The sequence below is a fragment of the Homo sapiens genome, chromosome 2 (genome assembly GCF_000001405.40).
Source record: "Homo sapiens chromosome 2, GRCh38.p14 Primary Assembly".
Taxonomy (NCBI): Eukaryota; Metazoa; Chordata; class Mammalia; order Primates; family Hominidae; genus Homo; species Homo sapiens.
Window position 1 is genome coordinate 135,307,068 of NC_000002.12, and position 19,868 is coordinate 135,326,935.

Consider the following 19,868-nt stretch of genomic DNA (forward strand, 5'->3'; position numbering starts at 1 on the left):
TTTTTTAATTTTTGAGACAGGGTCTCACTTACTCTGTTGTCCAGGCTGGAGTGCAGTGGCATGATCATAGCTCATTGCAACTTCTGCCTCCTGGGCTCAAGTGATTATCCCACCTCAACCTCCTGAGTAGTGGGACCACAGACGTGTACCATCACACTGAGCTAATTTTTGCATTTTCAGTAGAGATGGGTTTTTGCCTTGTTGCTCAGGCTGGTCTTGAATTCCTGGGCTCGAGCAATCTGCCTGTCTCAGCATCCTGAAGCACTAGGATTACAGGTGTAAGCCACCACACCCGGCCAGATTTTTTATGATTACATTTTATTTCCACTATTGGCTCATAACTGATACTGTGTTTTCTATTTCTAGCATTTCCATTTTACTGTTTTACAATTTTCATACTATTTCTAAAATTCTCCATCTTTTCTTGCATGTTGTTTATCTTTTCTATTTGATGCTTTAACATATTATTCATAGCTATCTTAAAGCCCTTGTCTAATAGTTCTACAATCTGGGTCATTTCTGCATCTGGCTTTATCAGTTGCTTTATGTCTTGGCAATGGTTGTTTTTTTAAATGTCTTTTTTGTTATTTTGCAATTTCTATTGAATGCTAGGAGTTATGTGTAGAAGGATAGTACAGACTGAGGAAATGATAGTTACATCCAGAATTGAGCATGCTTCTTCCTTTGAGGTGATGATAGTATGGTGGGGGAGGGGACTGAGTGAATGTAGTCAGCGCTGAGTTCTGTTTAGGTTCTCTTGTTACATTTACCTTTGGAGCACCATGAACCTCAAATTCCCCCAGCAATGGGATACTTCTAGCTTGTAATACTGTGTGTCAAGGGTTTTGCTAAGTGTTCCTGCCACATTCTCAGCTTTCAGTAGTCCTGCACGCCTGTAGGATAGTAGGTTGTCTCTCTTTCCCAGTGGTAGATTGATCTTGAAGGTTTCTCAGTGTTAAGTTCATAGTGGGGGTTGGGGGACCTTTTGAGTCTCCTGGTACCAACTCAGCATAAGACAAATTTTTTGCTGCAGCTGAGCCTTGGGGGTGGGACTTTCTTGGTGTTCCTGTCCCCCACCACTAACAAAACTATGTCTTGTAACTGCAGGTGGTGCTAAAGGGGTCTCTGCCTCTACCCTGGCAGTAACAGATCTCTGTCTTATATCAGTGCAGGGTCCTGAGTCCAACAGGGTTTCCTGCCCACTCCCCAGGGGTAGGCAGCATTTGTCCCTATCCCATCACCAGAAGCAGTCCATCATGGACTAGGCTTTGAGGTTGGAGGAGGGGGTACTCTGCCTCTTCCACAATGGCTTAAGGCTTTTGTTTAGTGTAAGAAAGGGGTATTGAAAATAGGCAGAGTTTTGAACTTCTGCTCCACTAATGGATATGCTCTCAGGACTCCCAGCTAGCACCTGCTAGATGCCAGTGGAAATAAAGCCTGTGAGTGAGTATAAACTCCCCTGTGTCAGGACCACTTTTATTGTGATCTTTTTTCTTTCTTTTTTATTTAAATTTTGTTTCTGAAAAAAATTTGTTCTTTTTTGTTTGTTTTGTCTTTTCCTTTGTTTGTTTTTTATAGAATAGAGACGAGGTCTTCCTCTGTTACTCAGCCTGATCTCGAACTCCTAAGCTGAAGGGACTCTCCTACCTCGGCTTCCCAAAGTGCTGGGATTACAGATGTAAGCCACCATGCCTGAGTGAACATTCATAAAAGCCTAATTCCTTCACTTATAGTAGTGCTAGAACATTAGCTATTTTCTTCATATCCACCTTTATAATAACCACCTCTTCTTCCCCTTCTCCGCCAAAGGAAAAAAAGTTCATATGTTCCATTTCTTCTCTAAACAAACTAGTAAAAAAAGGAAGTTTCCTCTACATAAGAAAAGTCATCTAAAAAAACTTAGTAATAACATCATTTTTTTTTTTTTTTTTGAGATGGAGTCTGGCTCTGTTGCCCAGGCTGGAGTGCAGTGGTGCAATCTCGGCTCACTGCAAGCGCTGCCTCCTGGGTTCACGCCATTCTCCTGCCTCAGCCTCCCATGTAGCTGGGACTACAGGCACCCGCCACCATGCCTGGCTAATTTTTTGTATTTTTTAGTAGAGACGGGGTTTCACCGTGTTAGCCAGGATGGTCTTGATCTCCTGACCTCGTGATCTGCCTGCCTCGGCTTCCCAAAGTGCTGGGATTACAGGTGTGAGCCACCGCACCCAGCCGCAATAACATCATATTTAATGGTGAAAGACTAAATGCCTTCCCCCTAAGATTGGCTACAAGGTAAGGCTGTTCAGTCCTATCATTTCTATCCAAAATTGTACTAGTCTTCCTTCAACGTAATAGGCAAAACAAATAAATAAAAGGCATATATATTACAAGGAAGAAATAAAAATGTCTTTATGTGCAGACAAAATGATCCTATATCTTCTAGAATTAACCAAAAATCCACAAGAACTAATAAAAGGAGTTCAGCAAGGTCACAGAATAAAAGGTTAATATAAGAAAATCGATAATAATTCTATACTTAGCAAGGGAAACCTGGAAATTTACATTTTAAAAAATGCCATTTACAGGAGCATAAAAGGACACAAAATACCTATGGATAAATCTAACAAAATGTATTAAAAAAACTAGAGAACATTGTGGGGATAAATTAAAAGTGAACGATACTCTTTTCAGGGACCAGAAGACTAAATATTATTCAGAAGTAAATTCTTCCAAATTAGTCAACAGATCCAACACAATTCCAACAAAATTGTATACACTTAAAATGCTGATTCTAAAATTCATACAGAAAAGCGAAGGACCTACAAAAGACAAAGCAATATTGAAAAGGAATACAGTAGGGTAAACACTATATAATTTCAAGGCTTATTTATTTATTTATTTTTTGGAGACAGAGTCTTGCTCTGTTGCCCAGGTTGGAGTGCAGTGTCATGATCTCGGCTCACTGCAACCTCCACCTCCTGGGTTCAAGTGATTCTCCTGTCTCAGCCTCCCGAGTAGCTGGGATTACAGGTGTGCAACACCACGCCCAGCTAATTTTTGTATTTTTAGTAGAGATGGGGTTTTGCCATGTTGGTCAGGCTGGTCTCAAACTCCTGACCTCAAGTGATCCACCTGCCTCGGCCTCCCAAAGTGCTGGGATTACAGGCATGAGCCACCGTGCCTGGCCTTCAAGACTTATTATAAAGCTACAGTAATCAAGCCATTGTAGTATAAGGCTGATGAATAGACCAATGAATGAGAATAGAGTTCAGAAACAGACCTACACATACATTGCCAATTGGTTTTTGGTGAAGGTGCCAAGGAAATTTAAGGAGGGCAAAATAGTCTTCTGTGTTTTGATGAGTGTTGTAACAACTGAAAATCCATATGTAAAATGACAAACCAAAACAAAAATAAAAAAATCAGAACTGCTACCTTTATTTTGTAGCATATAAAAGAATTATATGCTACAAAAATAATAGTTTATAGACCTACATCTAAGTCATCTATCACTTAGCTATGGGATATGTTCTCAGAAATGCATTGTTAAGGGAATGCTGTCATTGTGAGAACATCACAGAGTGTATTTACACAAACCTATATGTTATATGTATTTTTATTTATATATATATTTTTCATATGAAAAACCAAAGGACCTAGCATCATTACTGAATACCAATTATTTCTCCTACTTGATCTGCAATGCAATGTCAAGTGCCATTTATTATGTTTCTATATATGCTCCATTATAATCTTATGAGACCAGTGTTGTATATGTGCTGCTTTGTTGACTGAAATTTGATTAAGTAGCACATGACTGATAACCTAAAGCTATGGCATTTTTAGAAGAAAATATAAGAGGGTATCTTTGTGAACTTAGATTAGGCAAAAATTTCTTAGGACTCAAAATACAAAAAAAAAAAGGAAGAAAAAAATTGATATACTAGATTGTTTCCAAATTTAAAACTTCTGTTCTCTGAAAGACAATGTTAATAAAATAGAAATCAAATCCATAGACTTGGAGGACATATTTGTAAAAGATATATATATTACAGAACTTGTTTCCAAAATAAAGAGTTCTTATTACCCCATATAAATATGGACTCAATATGAACAGATACTTCACAAAAGAAAATGAATAGACAAAAGGCACCAAAAAACATGCTCAACACCATCAGTCATCGGGAAAAGAAAAATTAAAAGCACGATGAGATGCCACTACATACCGACAATAACGGCTAAAATGAAAAAGATGGCAATACCTAGTGCTCACAAAGATATCAAATGGAACTCTCATACAATGTCAGTAGAAATGCAAAATAATATAGCTACTTTGAAAAACAATTTGGCAGTTTTTTTTATCAAGTTAAATCTATACTTTTATGACTCACCAGTTCTATTTCCAAGTATTTGCTCAAGGAAAATGAAAATATATGACTACACAAAGGCCTGTACATGAATGATTATACCACTTTGACTTACAATAGTCTAAAACAGAAATATTCCAAATGTCCATTAATAGGTGAAAGAATAAAAAAAAAAAAAATTTTAGGGGCCAGATGAGGTAGCTCACACCTATAACCCCAGCGCTTTGGGAGGCTGAGGCAGAAGGATCCCTAGAGCCCAGGTGTTCGAAACTGCAGTGAGCTATGATTGTGGCACTGCACTTTAGCCTGGGTGACAGAGCAAGACTCTGTCTCTCAAAAAAAATTTTTTTAAAGTTTTGTTCCCATACATTGGAGGATGTAAGGAAAGCAATAAAAAGGAAAAGTAATAACATATACAACAACCTGAATCAATCTCAAAACCTTTATGCTAAGTGAAAGCAGCCAGACACAAGGCTACATGCTATTGTTCCATTTTTGTGACATTCTGGAAAGTGTAAAACTATAGTGACAGAAAGCATATCTGTGGTTGCCAAGGTATAGTGATGGGTGGAGGGGAAATGCTACAAAGGCACATGGGGGAACTTTTTGGCATGACAGGAATATCTCTATTTTCATGGTACTGATGTTTATCCAACTATACACATTTGTCAAGCCTCATCCAACCATACATTGTATTTATTTTTTTATTTTATTTTATTATTTTATTTTATTTTATTTTATTTTTATTTTATTTTATTTTATTTTATTTTATTTTTATTTTATTTTATTTTATTTTATTTGAGACAGAGTCTTGCTCTGTTGCCAAAGCTGGAGTGCGGTGGCACAATCATAGCTCACTGTAGCCCAGATCTTCTGAGCTAAGCGATCCTCCCTCCTCAGCCTCCCAAGTAACTAGGATGACATGCACACTACCATGTCTGGACCAACTATACATTTTAAAAGGATAAATTTCACTTTATGTAAATATACCTCAACAATCCTCATCTTAAAAAAGTATGTTACAAAAAAAATCTCAGAATCAAGAGGGGTGACACTCGTCAGTATTTACAGGTTCTACCATGGTGGTAAAAACAACTACCACAAATATATGATAAGTTTACTTGACAGTTACACTAATTTTACTAAATTCTAAAATCCTATATTTTTCACTTTTAGACAAACAGAATGTGAGCAAAATTACCTCTGTAGGGTACTGAACATGGAATATCAAAGGAAGATGACTGACAAATAAAAAAAGATTATTTGCAGTAATAATGTAGTAAAACCATGGGAATACTAATAATAAAGATGAATATAGTTCGGGCACGGTGGCTTACACCTGTAATCCCAGCAGTTTGGAAAGCCAAGGTGGGTGGATCACTTGAGGTCAGGAGTTCAAGACCAGCCTGGCCAACATGATGGACCCTGTCTCTACTAAAAGTATTAAAAAAAAATTTGCCAGGCATGGAGGCACGTGCCTGGAATCCCAGCTACTTGGGAGGCTGAGGAAGGAGAATTGCTTGAACCCAGGAGGTGGAGGTTGCAGTGAGCTGAGATTGAGCCACTGCACACCAGCCTGGGCAAAAGAGTAAGATTCCGTCTTTAAAAAAAAAAAAAACAGAAAAGAAAAAAATGAATATATATATAATTTAAATGAGAAAGTATAACGTATAGTATCCTCCCGCATCAAAATATACCTGTATATTGGAAAAGATAAATATATGGTTGGATACAGCATTACTGTTTACTTTGAGTATGTCTGAATTTTTCCATAAAAAAGAGTTAAACAGGCTGGGCATGTTGGCATGTGCCTGTAGTCCTGGCTACTTGGGAGACTGAGGCAGGAGAATGGCTTGAACCTGGGAGGCGGAGGCTGCAGTGAGCCGAGATCACGCCACTGCATTCCAGCCAGGGTGACAGAGTGAGGCTCCCAACTCAAAAAAAAAAAAAAAAAGAGTTAAACAATAGCAAAGAAATTCTGCAATATATAAATAACTTGCTTAATTAAAAACAGTAAAAGACATTGAATAATTTGTATGAAGACAAATACATGATGGCCCAGCAAAGAGTACCTTGGCAATAGCAGTTTGTTTAAACATGCGAGTTATCAACCCCATGACTGTCTCCATGGCACCTGAATTTGGAGTTCTCATTATTTTTTCCCACTCTTCAAAGCTGGTATTCAATTCCTATGTGGGAAAAAATAACACTGTTTATGAATATAGCATAACGAACAGAACAAATTAATGCAATCATGAATCATGTCCTACTTTTTTTCCTTTTCTCTATAGAAAGATATAAAAAGAAAATCCCCAAAGATTCCAACATGTTCATTTAAAAACATCAATGCAGAGGTAGGTCAGTCACATTTTCAAAATTATAGAAACCAATGATAAGCTGTGGGTGAAAACAAAGCCCTTTGCTAACAGCATAAATCAAACAATTATAATTTCTTCTTTTTTTTTGAGACAGAGTCTCGCTCTTGTTGCCCAGGCTGGAGTGCAATCGTGCAATCTCGGCTCACTGCAACCTCCGCCTCCCGGGTTCAAGCGATTCGCCTGCCTCAGCCTCCCAAGTAGCTTGGATTACAGGCATGCGCCACCACGCCCAGCTAATTTTGTATTTTTAGTAGAGACAGGGTTTCTCCATATTGGTTAGGCTGGTCTCGAACTCCTAACCTCAGGTGATCTGCCCACCTCGACCTCCCAAAGTGCTGGGACTACAGGCGTGAGCCACCGCACCCTGGCCTATAACTTCTTAAGAAGATACATTCTGTAAAATGAACATAAGAAACATAAGAAAGCAGAGTAGTAAAAATGTATAAAGCAGCTAAGTACTTTTGTAAAAAGATGTGGTTTGATTTAAATAAAGATGGGGAATATTAAATAAAATTAATATGAAGTACAAATATAATCATATGTTGATTCCATTTTATTTTTCTTTCTAATACTAATAGATAAGAAAATCAGATTGTTCTTATTTTAGAAGTAACATATTGCTCAATGTTTACAAAATGCTTATAAGCTTTCAAGATAACAATGAAAAACTCTGTTAATAAAGTCATTTTCAGATTTGCAGAAATTTCAGAGAATATATAAGCACTGCAGTCTCCAAAAGTAAACATGGATGAGGATTAGGTAAGGATTAGTAAACTGGTTTTCTGATATACTGAATTTCACGTCTTACAACATGGTCACAGAGTTTTAGAATTTCAAGAATAGGGCTGCATGAAGTTTTTCTAGAAGAGAGTTATTCATACTTTAAAAAGAAATTCTAGAGCAAGGAACACAATTTCCCTTGCTAATTATTGGGTTTCACACCTTCTATTTAGAATTCTTTTTTTTTTTTTTGAGATGGAGTCTCGCTCTGTTGCCCAGGCTGGAGTGCAATGGCGCGATCTCGGCTCACTGCAACCTCTGCCTCCTGGGTTCAAGCTGATTCTCGTGCCTCAGCCTCCCGAGTAGCTGGGATTACGGGCACTCGCCACCACACTCAACTAATTTTTGTATTTTTAGTAGAGACGAGTTTTCACCATGTTGGCCAGCTGGTCTCAAACTCCTGACCTCAGGTGATCTGCCGACCTCAGGTGATCTGCCCACCTCAGCCTCCCAAAGTGCTGGGTTACAGGTATGAGCCACCGTGCCTGGCCGATATTTAGAATTCTTAATACTACATCTCTGTTGCAATTGAAGTTCTTTTTTCAGCAAAAATACTTTTTTTTTAAACCACTAGGTTACCATATCTTTTTATGCATCTGATGAATAAAATTGAATTCTTCCTGCTTTCTTGCTGAAATACAAAACCAATGTATAGGCTCTATTAATTAAACCTATTTTAAGAAAGCAAACCTTTCCTTCTGTGAAATATGAAATACGTATAATCTTTAATAGTGTAATTCAAAATTATTTAAAGTAAGACTTTAAATCAAGCAACGGTTCTCACCTTGGCAGCTGCTGATGGAAGATCAAATGGAATACGCTGTCTGACTTTAGGGGGTAGCTGGGTTAAAACTTCAGTCTTTAATCTTCTAATCATTATGTCACTTAATAGCTGGTGAAGTTCATTAAGATTTGATGCCCCTCTACAATCCCACTGAGGTCTTTTACCAAAATATCTGTTAAAATGAAGACAAAACATGTAGCAAAATTGAATGCTGGAGTTAAGAAAATAATTTATCCAATGTGCTCTTCCTTTTAATGATAAGGAGCCATGACACTGTTTTCATTGATATTTCTGAATGAATATTAGTTTCAAAAAGCTCAGCCTGAAAAACAGTAATGAATAAGATTTGACACTGCTTTAAACTAGAGAAGATGTTAGTGTCTAAGCATACTGTTTACACTGAGTTAATGCAAGGCTGTGATGAACTGATGACTGTGAATTGCACTAGGTCACTGTTTGTAAATGGGGGTGTTATTGGCATTTTGAGTGGGCTCACACATGGTGGTGTTTTAGCAGATCTATCCATAAAGTAGGCATGAACTGCCAGTGCATCAGCCAGTCATTATAATAACCAAAACCACCCAGAACATTTTCTGTGCCCTCTAGGAGGAGATATTATCTCCAATAGGGCTGTTAAAGCATAGCAGATTGATTACATGGTGGTCTCTTCTTCCTTTGAAATACTTCTTCCTTTCTAACCCTTTCCTGGATTGACAGCAAAGGGATAAAATAAAAGAACACAAAATTACTATGAAAGAGAGAATGAGAGGAGACATCAGAGAATAAGTGCTTTGAAGAAATATTTAGAAGGCATAATGCAGATAGAAAAGTGGTAACTGACTTGGCAAAAGAAAGGAAGCGATAACTTAAACTGCTTGCAAAAGACAAGTTATTCTCTAGACCTTTCAGAAAATTAGAAGCTCAAAGCACCAAGTACTGTGAACAAATGTTAACAGAAGGGTTGAAATCTAGTGGATCAATTGAACTTACACATTAGGACAACCGATCCAATAACATATCCCTATCAATGTGACAACCAAAATACCAGCCCATAAAATTCCCAATCATCTCCTAGGGGTCCATACTACCCACTACTGAAAACAGCTGTTAGAGAATAATTAACAAATAAAAAATTCCTGTTAGGTTGGATTATGATTACTAATATTAATAATTTAAGTAACTATCATTTTACTGGATAAAAAATACTGGGTGTATTTTAGCACAAATAGGTGTCAATTTGAGAAATGTGGAACTCGTTAACATTAGCTTTTTAAAAAATAAATATTAAACATAAACAATACACATAATATTAAAAAGATATACTTGTAGCCGGGCACGGTGGCTCACGCCCGTAATCCCAGCACTTTGGGACGCCAAGGCGAGCAGATCACGAGGTGAAGAGATTGAGACCATCCTGGCCAACATAGTGAGACCCTGTCTCTGCTAAAAATACAAAATTTAGCCAGGCATGGTGGTGTGTGCCTGTAGTCCCAGCTACTCAAGAGGCTGAGGCAGGAGAATCGCTTGAACCCGGGAAGCAGAGGTTGCAGTGAGCCGAGATCGTGCCACTGCACTCCAGCCTGGTGACAGAGCGAGATTCCGTCTCGAGAAAAAAAAAAAAAAAAATATATATATATATATATACTTGCATGTAGAGTCAATTACATAAGTATAGTGAATGAATGGAATCTACTGTATGATAAAATTATACACATACCATTTAGTTGTCATCAATAAGAAATTTACTTGTTTAAAAAATCTAAGTGCTGTCACTATATAAAAATTTTTAACGGATTTGCTTATAATTGTTATAAATTGAATTGCTGAAACTTGTTCATTAAAATTTTTTGACTTCCTTTAATGCATCATGTCCCCATATTTATATTAAAAATTCACACACTAATAAAAATGGGAAAATACTTGCCAATACCTGTTCTGCACCTATTTTTCCATTCATACACTTAGGTATACTTTGATCACACGGTCACAAAAAAAATCTAACATTCAGAACTACCAATATTGGGAAGAAGTTGGTAGGTGGTGGTTTTTGTTTTATTTTGTTGAAAATGCAGTGTTTGCCATTAAAATGGATTCTTAAGCACACTCTCCACTTACATGAGACATTGTACAGGTGTGCAGTATGCTAGCTGGAGGCCTTTTGGTATGACTGCTACATGCTGGCAAAGACAACACACAATTGTCTTCAAACAGGCTAACCACATAGGCCACACTTGCCTCCTGCAGAGTACCAACAGTTGTACTCCCAAAATGCAGATCTGTTTTGAAGTCTGAGCAATCTATTTTCAGTGTGTCATAGTGCCAGGACCTGGTCTGTAACAGTGAGGATTTCCTCACTGCTCCAGGGGAGGGTACACTATTGAGAGAAGTTTCAGCTAGTTGCCTCGTGGGTCTTATGCCACTAGTTGATCCTAAGCGCCATATGCCTGGTATGAACCATGGTTCAGAGGAATTATTTCTTGTTACCCACTCTCCCCACCCACATCTCTTTCATCTAGAGCTTCGAATGCTAGTGGTGGCGTTTGTTCTAAAGAGTGGTGACAATAACACATTTGCCAAAACCCCAGCCTCATGTTTGGGGTGCAAAGGGGAAATAAGAGGGATTAGGGAGGACTAGAAGAGGTGCCACCTGTAAACCTTTAGTCTCTTTAAATTTGCTGAATTTGAAGAATTTGCCCAACATCTCATGGATGGTAATAGTGGTGCTGAGATTTGAACTTGGGCAGTCTGACTCCAAAGTCTTGCTTTACTAAAAGCCAACTTTTACCTAATAATATAAAAATTATATTAAATATATTTCTTGGGATTATTTTCCTATGCTATTTACACACTATTTTGTGTGTGTGTGTGTGTGTGTGTGTGTGTGTGTGTGTGTGTGTGTGTATTGGGGGCAGCTACACAAAAGCAGGAGATTCTGAGACTAGGAAACATTCCTAACTTTAGGTTTTGGCCTTTATTTTTCTTAATTCTCAATTCCTACATATATAAAATGGGAAGATCCACTGTTTGGGGGATGGTTGAATAAACTGTGGGGCATGCCAACTATGGATTATTAAGCAACTATTCATAAGAATCACTTAGATCTTTATGTAAGGGGTAAGATGAATGTTGAAGATATATGTTAAATGATAAATGCAAGTCTCAGAGTAATATGTTGGGTATGAAGGATTATGTAGTATGTGTGTAGATGTGTGTATATATGTATGTCTGTATAATAATGGAAACAGTTCCAGAAGAACACACATCAAGATATGATACATTGCTTAACTTCGGGGTCATAGTTAAAGAGACCGAAAAGTTTACGTGAAAAACTGGGGTTTTGTTACCCCATTTTGTTTTCACTTTGTCTATCTGAAAGTTTACAATAAGCAAATAATGCTTTTGTAATTAAAATTCAATGACGTAAAAAGAATCTTAAAAAAAAAATACCTTCAATAGCTCCCACTTCATAGCATTGGTCTCCAAAGTGTGGGGATGGGTAGACTCCAGAGGCGTTCAAGTCAACCCACTGAGGGGCAGAAGGAACTTCCTCTACATATTGTATTCTTATCTCAGCTTTCTAAATTAGCTTCTCTTTCATGTAAGTTTTAAAATATACATAATGCTTAGAATAGTAACATGAATATAATTCATGCATTGGCAGTATGCTAAAAAACAATGCTTTAAAATGGGGTGTATACAGAGTTGAGAAGAGGGGCAAGTGCCTAGCAGGCATGGGCACAACTTGACTGACAGAATTGGCCAGTAAAGATACAATGAGCCCTTTTTAGAGTTAGACACTTTTGTTACTTAAACAGAATTACGAATAAAAAGTGAAGTACAAATATGAGTCTATAATGAAAAAAACACAAGTTACACAAAACAAAAAATTTATAAATGCTTACAGATGTTCCTAAATCCAGAAAAATAACACTTTTTAATTAACCACTTATCACATCTATAATGTTTTTTCAACATTGTCCACTGCTTATGCTTTGACTGCCTCTTCAGGTGACAATAACTTTGTAATATTTGAGAAATAGGATACTTCAGTCTTTACTCAAGCATGGATGATCGAATTTTGTTGTTTATTAATGATAATTTTTTAAAGTTTATTTCAAGTTTATAACTTACTGTCATACTCTGTGTGTGTACATATATTTCTAATTATAATCAAATTTGAAAAAAATCTCTATCAAATTTCTGTCAAATATAAGCTATAAGAATTGAAAGAATTATTCGCAGATTATCCTCTGGCTCTCTACATTTCAACCTTGCTTCTCTTCCAGTACTCACATGTTCCCAGCATCTGGCACCATAAGACACGTTCGCACTGCAATATGTCCACTCACCCATTACCAGGATTATTTCTGGAAGCCATTCCTATACTAGGTTGGCTAGCAATAACCTAACTAAATACATAAATATAACCCACTAAATCCAAACCAAACATACCGCTAATATAATTTCTTCTTAGCCTGATCCCAACAACACTTGGTGATAACTCCATCACAAAACACAAGGAAAAATATGAGAAGAGGAAGATGTGCTGAAAAGAGATCTTTTAATATATTGAAAGTGTCTACTTCTATAAATTTGACAGGGACATATGATCCTGTGAAAAGTGCCAAAACTCCCTCCTAGGGTCTTGAAATGGCCTAAAAAGTGAGTGATTCTTTTTTTTCCCCCCAAGAGATGGGTTCTCACTATGTTGCCCAGGCTAGAATACAGTGGCCATTCACAGGCACAACCATAGTGCACTGCAGCCTCGATCTCCTGGGCTCAAGTGATTATCCTGCTTCAGCGACCTGAGTAGCTGGGACTACAGGCACATGCCACCAGGCCGAGCTAAAAGTGAAAGATTCTGAAGATTAAGGTCCATAGTTGCATGGGAAGGAAAGAAAATTATCAAACAAATTTGTAAATGCATTATCAAAGAGGTAAAGTGCATAGAACAAAGAGAAAAGGTGTAAATGAATAAGAAAAATATGTTTAAGGACAAAGTATAAGCAGTATGCTTTGGGGGTAGGTTTAAAACAAAAGGATACTTAATTCCTAACAAACTAAAATTAGCAACAACCAAAAAATTGTAAATGCCCCTAAAGACATTTATGAAACATGAACTTTCTTTTGAGCTTAGAATAATTATTTTCTCATTCAGTTTTACAGAGTAAGTAAAAATTCATTTATTCTTTTCTAAATTGAAAGAATAAACATACGCCTTTTAATCTCCTTTTGATCATATATAATTTAAAAAAGTCATTTCCCAGTAGCATTTAACATTAGCTTATGATGATGAAACAGGAAGTTTATGGCCAAGAACATATATGCTTATCTGTGTTCATGAACAAACACACATACACATGCAGAGTTAACTTTTGACTTTGGAAATCACCCTCTGGTTTTTTAAAGTTAGGTTCTCTTGTGCCTCTTGTAGCAATCCTTTCCTCTCATCCTTGGCTCCTGGCAACCATTAATCTGTTTTTTGCCTTAGCAGTTCTGCACATTCTGGAATGTTATGTAATATAAATAGAATTATGCAGTAAGTAGCCTTTTAAATCTTATTTCTTTCACTTAGCATATTGCATTTGAAAGTTATATATGTTATTGGGTATATTAATAGTTCATTGCTTTTTATTGTCAAGTAATACATTCCAATGTATGGCTATATCACAATTTCTGCAATCACATTAGTTGAAGGACATCTGGATTATTCCAGTTTTAGGTGATTATAAATAAAGCTACTATAAACAGCTGCATACAGATTTCTGAGTGAACATATGTTTTCATTTATCTTTACTAAATACCCAGCAGTAGGATTTCTGATTTGTATTGTCAGTGTATGCCATAATGTTTCCAAAGTGGTTGAACATTTTGCATTCCCAGCAGCAATGTAAGCAATGTAATTCCCAGCAGAAAGTTCCAGTTGTTCGGTAACCTTGCCACCATTCTAATGCACGTGTACTGGTATTTTAACTCACATTTCTCTAACGACTAAGGTCTTGGGCATTTTTTCATGTGCTTATTTGACTTCTGTATATCGCCTTAGGTCAAGCGCCTTTCTAAATCTTTTAACTGTTTTTAAAATTATTTTGTTTTCTTATTACTGAGTTTTGGGATTTTTTTTTTTTTTTTTGAGACAGAGTCTCATTCTGTCGCCCAAACTGGAGAGCAGTGGCACGATCTCAGTTCACTGCAATCTCCACCTGCCAGGTTCAAGCGATTCTCCTGCCTCAGCCTCCTGAGTAGCTAGGACTACAGGTGTGTACCACCATGCCGGGCTAATTTTTGTATTTTTTTATTTAGTAGAGATGGGGTTTTGCCATGTTGGCCAGGGTGGTCTCGAACTCCTGACCTCAGGTGATCTGCCCACCTTGCCTCCCAAAGTGCTGGGATTACAGGTGTGAGCCACCCTGCCTAGCTGAGAATTTTTAATATATTATTTTAAAAATTCCTTTTGTGTACTTATAAATTTATATATTCCTTTATCAAATATGTAGTTTACAATTTTCTCTCCAAGTTTATGGCTTGTCTATTCACCTCTTAACAGTGTTGGGGAGAGACATTTTAAGTTCTGATGAGGTGAAATTCATCACTTTTGTCTTTTATCGTTCATGAAGTTTGTGCCCCATCTAAAAAAATCCTTACCTAACCCAAAGTCCCAAATATACAATCCATTTATCATTAAATTTTGCATATTGTGTAAGATATGGTTTGGGTTTCTTCTTTTCACATATGGATGTCCAATTGTTCCAAGAGCATGTATTGAAAAGACTAGCTTTTCTCCAGTGAATTGTCTTGCATATTGTCAAAAATCAATTGATCACATATATGGGTCTATTTCTAGATTCTATATGTTCCAGTGATTTACATGTGTCTCCTGATTGACGACTGTAAAGAAAAATAGTGTGAATCTTATTCTTTTCTTCTTTTTCAAAGTTCTTTTAAAAAAGGAACTTTGTCTTTGCATATAAATTTTAGATTTAAAATGTCAATTTCTACAAAATCTTGGGTTTGATTGTTATTGCACAGAATCCACTGAACAATTTGAGGGAAACTGCCATTTAAAAAATATTGAGGCCAGGCACGGTGGCTCATGCCTGTAATCCCAACACTTTGGGAGGTCAAAGTGGGAGAATTGCTGGAGGCCAGGAGTTCGAGACCAGCCTGGGCAACATAGCAAGACCCAATCTCTATAAAAAATGAAAAACAATTAGCTGAGTGTGGTGTTGTGCTCCTGTAGTCCTCCCTACTTGGGAGGCTGAGAGAGGAGGATTGCTTGAGCCCAGGAGGTTGAGGCTACAGTAAGCTATGATTGTGCTACTGCACTTCAGCTTGGGTGACCAAGCAAGATCATGTCTCTTAAAAAAATTTTTGTTGACCAGGCGCAGTGGCTCACGCCTGTAATCTTAGCACTTTGGGAGGCCGAGGCAGGTGGATCACCTGAGGTCAGGAGTGTAAGACCAGCCTGGATAACATGGCAAAACCCCATCTCTACTAAAAATACAAAAATTAGCTATGAGTGGTGGCGGGCACCTGTAATCCCAGCTACTTGGGAGGCTGAGACATGAGAATTGTTTGAACCTGGGAGGCACAGGTTGCAGTGAGCCAAGATCGTGCCACTGCACTCCAGCCTGGGCAACAAACTCTGTCTCAAAAAAAAAAATTTTTTTTTTTTTAGTCTCCCTGTCCACAAACATGGTATACCACTCCATTCATTTAGGTCTTCTTTTATTTTTCATTAGTGTTTTGCAGGTCTTGTAAGTTTAACTTTATAAACAATTATAAACAAATTTTCAAACTGTTTTCCAAAATGGTTGTAGTATTTTGCTTTCCAACCACATAAGTTTAACAATGAAACAGTTTGACACATGATAGAATTGGGGGAAAATTTACAACACTCTGTTCTTATATCAAATAATAGTGCCTTGCAAATGTAACAGAATGTTTAGTTCTGGTTTATCATCCAAGAAGAATATTATAGACTAGACAAGATTTAGAAAGGGGACACAATCTAATTGTTAACATAACAGAGGGAGATAATGGAGTGTGGAAGTTAGAGGAGGATACATTGAAAAACTGAAATTATTCAGAGTGAAATGATGATGACAGATTACAAATAGAATTGACAAAGAACAGCCCAGATAAACAGAACACAAACTTGCTCCCTAAATACTGAACTATCAAAGTGCTCTGAAAGTGGAATAAAGGTATCATCATGAAAAGAGTAGAATGTAAATTACAAAGTAATTGGAGATCATCCCATCGGTCAAAAGAGGGACAATTTGATGATCAATAAGGATTATAAATAAAATTGATTCAAAAAAAACATGAGTTAAAAACTCTCAAATACTCAATAAACTAGAATTAGAAAGGGTCTTTCCTCACCTTGATTTTTTCTCTTTTTTTTTGAGATGGAGTCTTGCTCTCCATCTCAGGAGAGCACTCCATCTCCAGGCTGGAGTGCAGTGGTTCGATCTCGGCTCACTGCAACCTCTGCCTCCTGGGTCCAAGTGATTCTCCTGTCACAGCCTCCTGAGCAGCTGAGATTACAGGCATGCAACAGCCACCTCCAGCTAATTTTTATATTTTTAGTACAGATGGGGTTTCGCCATGTTGGTCAGGCTGGTCTCGAACTCCTGACCTCAGGTGATCCGCCCACCTCGGCCTCCCAAAGTGCTGGGATTATAGGCATGAGCCACTGTGTCTGGCCCTCATCTTGATTTTTTTTTATTATTATTATACTTTAAGTTCTAGGGTACATGTGCACAACGTGGAGGTTTGTTACATATGTATACATGTGCCATGTTGGTGTGCTGCACCCATTAACTCATCATTTAACATTAGGTATATCTCCTAATGCTATCCCTCCCCCCTCCCCTCACCCCACAACAGGCCCCGGTGTGTGATGTCCCCTTTCCTGTGTCCAAGTGTTCTCACTGTTCAATTCCCACCTATGAGTGAGAATATGCGATGTTTGGTTTTTTGTTCTTGTGATACTTTGCTGAGAATGATGGTTTCCAGCTTCATCCATGTCCCAACAAAGGACATGAACTCATCATTTTTTATGGCTGCACAGTATTCCATGGTGTACATGTGCCACATTTTCTTAATCCAGTCTATCATTGTTGGACATTTGGGTTGGCTCCAGGTCTTTGCTATTGTGAATAGTGCCGCAATAAACATACGCGTGCATGTGTCTTTATAGCAGCATTATTTATAATCCTTTGGGTATATACCCAGTAATGGGATGGCTGGGTCAAATGGTATTTCTAGTTCTAGATCCTTGAGGAATCGCCACACTGTCTTCCATAATGGTTGAAACAGTTTACAGTCCCACCAACAGTGTAAAAGTGTTCCTATTTCTCCACATCCTCTCCAGCACCTGTTGTTTCCTGACTTTTTAATGATCGCCATTCTAACTGGTGTGAGATGGTATCTCATTGTGGTTTTGATTTGCATTTCTCTGATGAGCAGTGATGATGAGCATTTTTTCATGTCTGTTGGCTGCATAAATGTCTTCTTTTGAGAAGTGTCTTTTCATATCCTTTGCCCACTTGTTGATGGGGTTGTTTTTTTCTTGTAAATTTGTTTAAAATGTAATACTTATACCCTGAAAGCTACACAACATTGTAGGATTTCTTTTTTAATTAAATAAATGGAAAGACATTACTGTTCATGAATTTGAAAACTTACTATTATAAAGATGCTAAACTCCCAAAGTTAATCTACAGATTCAATGCAATCTGTATCAAAATTCCAGCTGACTTCTTTGCTGAAGTTGACAAGCTGATACAGAAATTTACATAAAAATGCAAGTGACACAGAATAGCCAAAACAACCTTGAAAAAGAACAAAGTTGAAGGACTTAAACTTGCCAACTTTGAAAATAAAAAGCACTGGACACCACTGTAAGTTGCTAACAAAACAACTTATTACATTGAAAATTAATAAATGAGAAGGAAAAAATTTATCCTGCCTTTCTTAAGCAAACTGAACCAGTGAATGTCCACATAATAAATTATGATGAGGTTTTATTTTAAAGAGGCATGCCAACTATTTTTTTTTTTGAGATGGAGTCTCCAGGCTGGAGTGCAGTGGCGTAATCTTGGCTCACTGCAAGCTCCGCCTCCCAGGTTCACGCCATTCTCCTGCCTCAGCCTGTAGCTGCGACTACAGGTGGCTGCCACCATGCCTGGCTAATTTTGTTTTTGTATTTTTAGTAGAGATGGGGTTTCACCATGTTAGCCAGGACGGTCTTGATCTCCTGACCTCATGATTCACCCACCTCAGCCTCCAAAAGTGCTGGGATTATGGGTGTAAGCCACCGCACCCGGCCATGAGGCAGGCCAACTATTAAATGAAGAAAGTGTGTTAGAATATCACCATTCTGCAATGTCCAAAGGCTTAATAATGTACTGAACATTCACAGCTGCTAACATCATAAAAAGAGAGGCTTTAGATATCTCCTAACAGAAGAAAACATCACTACAAAGGAGAATTGTCTCCAAATATTAGAAGTTTCTAGATCTAAATACGAACATGGAAATACAGAGGACAAAGGAACATGTTAAACAACACCATGAGGATGCAGGCAGCAGAATCTAGATTACAAAAACAATTTAGATTCTTCCACAATGGAAAAATAAATAAATAAAACAAGGAAATAAAAGAGAAACCCAAGACTTCAGTGACATCTATCATTTGCTGTATGTGAGCCTTATTTGGGTACTGATCTATACAAACTACAGGGAAAAAACTAAAAAGAACCCCAAAAAACAGTAAAATTATGTATTCACAAAACAACTGGAAATTTCAACCTTTACTTCATTTTTTATAACATAAAAAGTGCATTTTAATTATGTAAAATTAAATATGTTTTATGTGTGTGTGCATGTTTGTGCTTTTCCATAGGTTACTGGGGTACAGGTGGTCTCTGGTTACATGAATAAGTTCTTTAGTGGTGATTTGTGAAATTTTGGCGCACCCATCACCCAACCATTTACTGCATTTTTAATGCAATCAAGGGATTTAATGCAATTAATTTTAATTTTTAAGGTATAATAATGGTATTATAATTAATTACTTTTTAAATGGGGATTAAAATTTATAGTTTTTTTTAAATTTTACTTTTAGTTCCGGGATACATGTGCAGAATGTGCAGGTTTGTTACATAGGTAAACGTGTGCCATGGTGGTTTGCTGCACCTATTAACCCATGACTTAGGTATTAAGTCCCGCATAATTATTTTTAAGAACAGTCCCGGCCAGGCATGGTGGATCATGCCTGTAATCCCAGCACTTTGGGAGGCTGAGGCGGGCAGATCATGAGGTCAGGAGATTGGGACCATCCTGGCCAACACGGTGAAACCCCATCTCTAATAAAATACAAAAAATTAGCCAGGCGTGGTGGTGCACACCTGTAGTCCCAGCTACTCAGGAGGCTGAGGCAGGGGAATTGCTTGAACCTGGGAGGCAGAGGGTGCAGTGAGCAGAGATCACGCCACTGCACTCCAACCTTGCAGCAGAACAAGACTCCATCTCAAAAAAAAAAAAAAAAAAAAAAAAGAACAGTCCTTCC

At 37.5% G+C, this 19,868-nt stretch overlaps 1 protein-coding gene across 3 annotated transcripts in view; it reads right to left on the bottom strand.

The window, feature by feature from the left end:
• ZRANB3 (zinc finger RANBP2-type containing 3) overlaps nt 1-19,868 on the bottom strand; it is a 334,250-nt gene that overhangs the window by 110,099 nt on the left and 204,283 nt on the right. For all 3 annotated transcript variants that reach the window (NM_032143.4, NM_001286569.1, NM_001286568.2), the window contains exons 7-8: nt 8,292-8,463; nt 6,422-6,538 (exon numbers count right to left, since the gene is read on the bottom strand). In NM_032143.4, coding sequence (NP_115519.2) covers nt 6,422-6,538; nt 8,292-8,463 — 289 coding nt within the window. The remainder of the gene's footprint in view (nt 1-6,421; nt 6,539-8,291; nt 8,464-19,868) is intronic.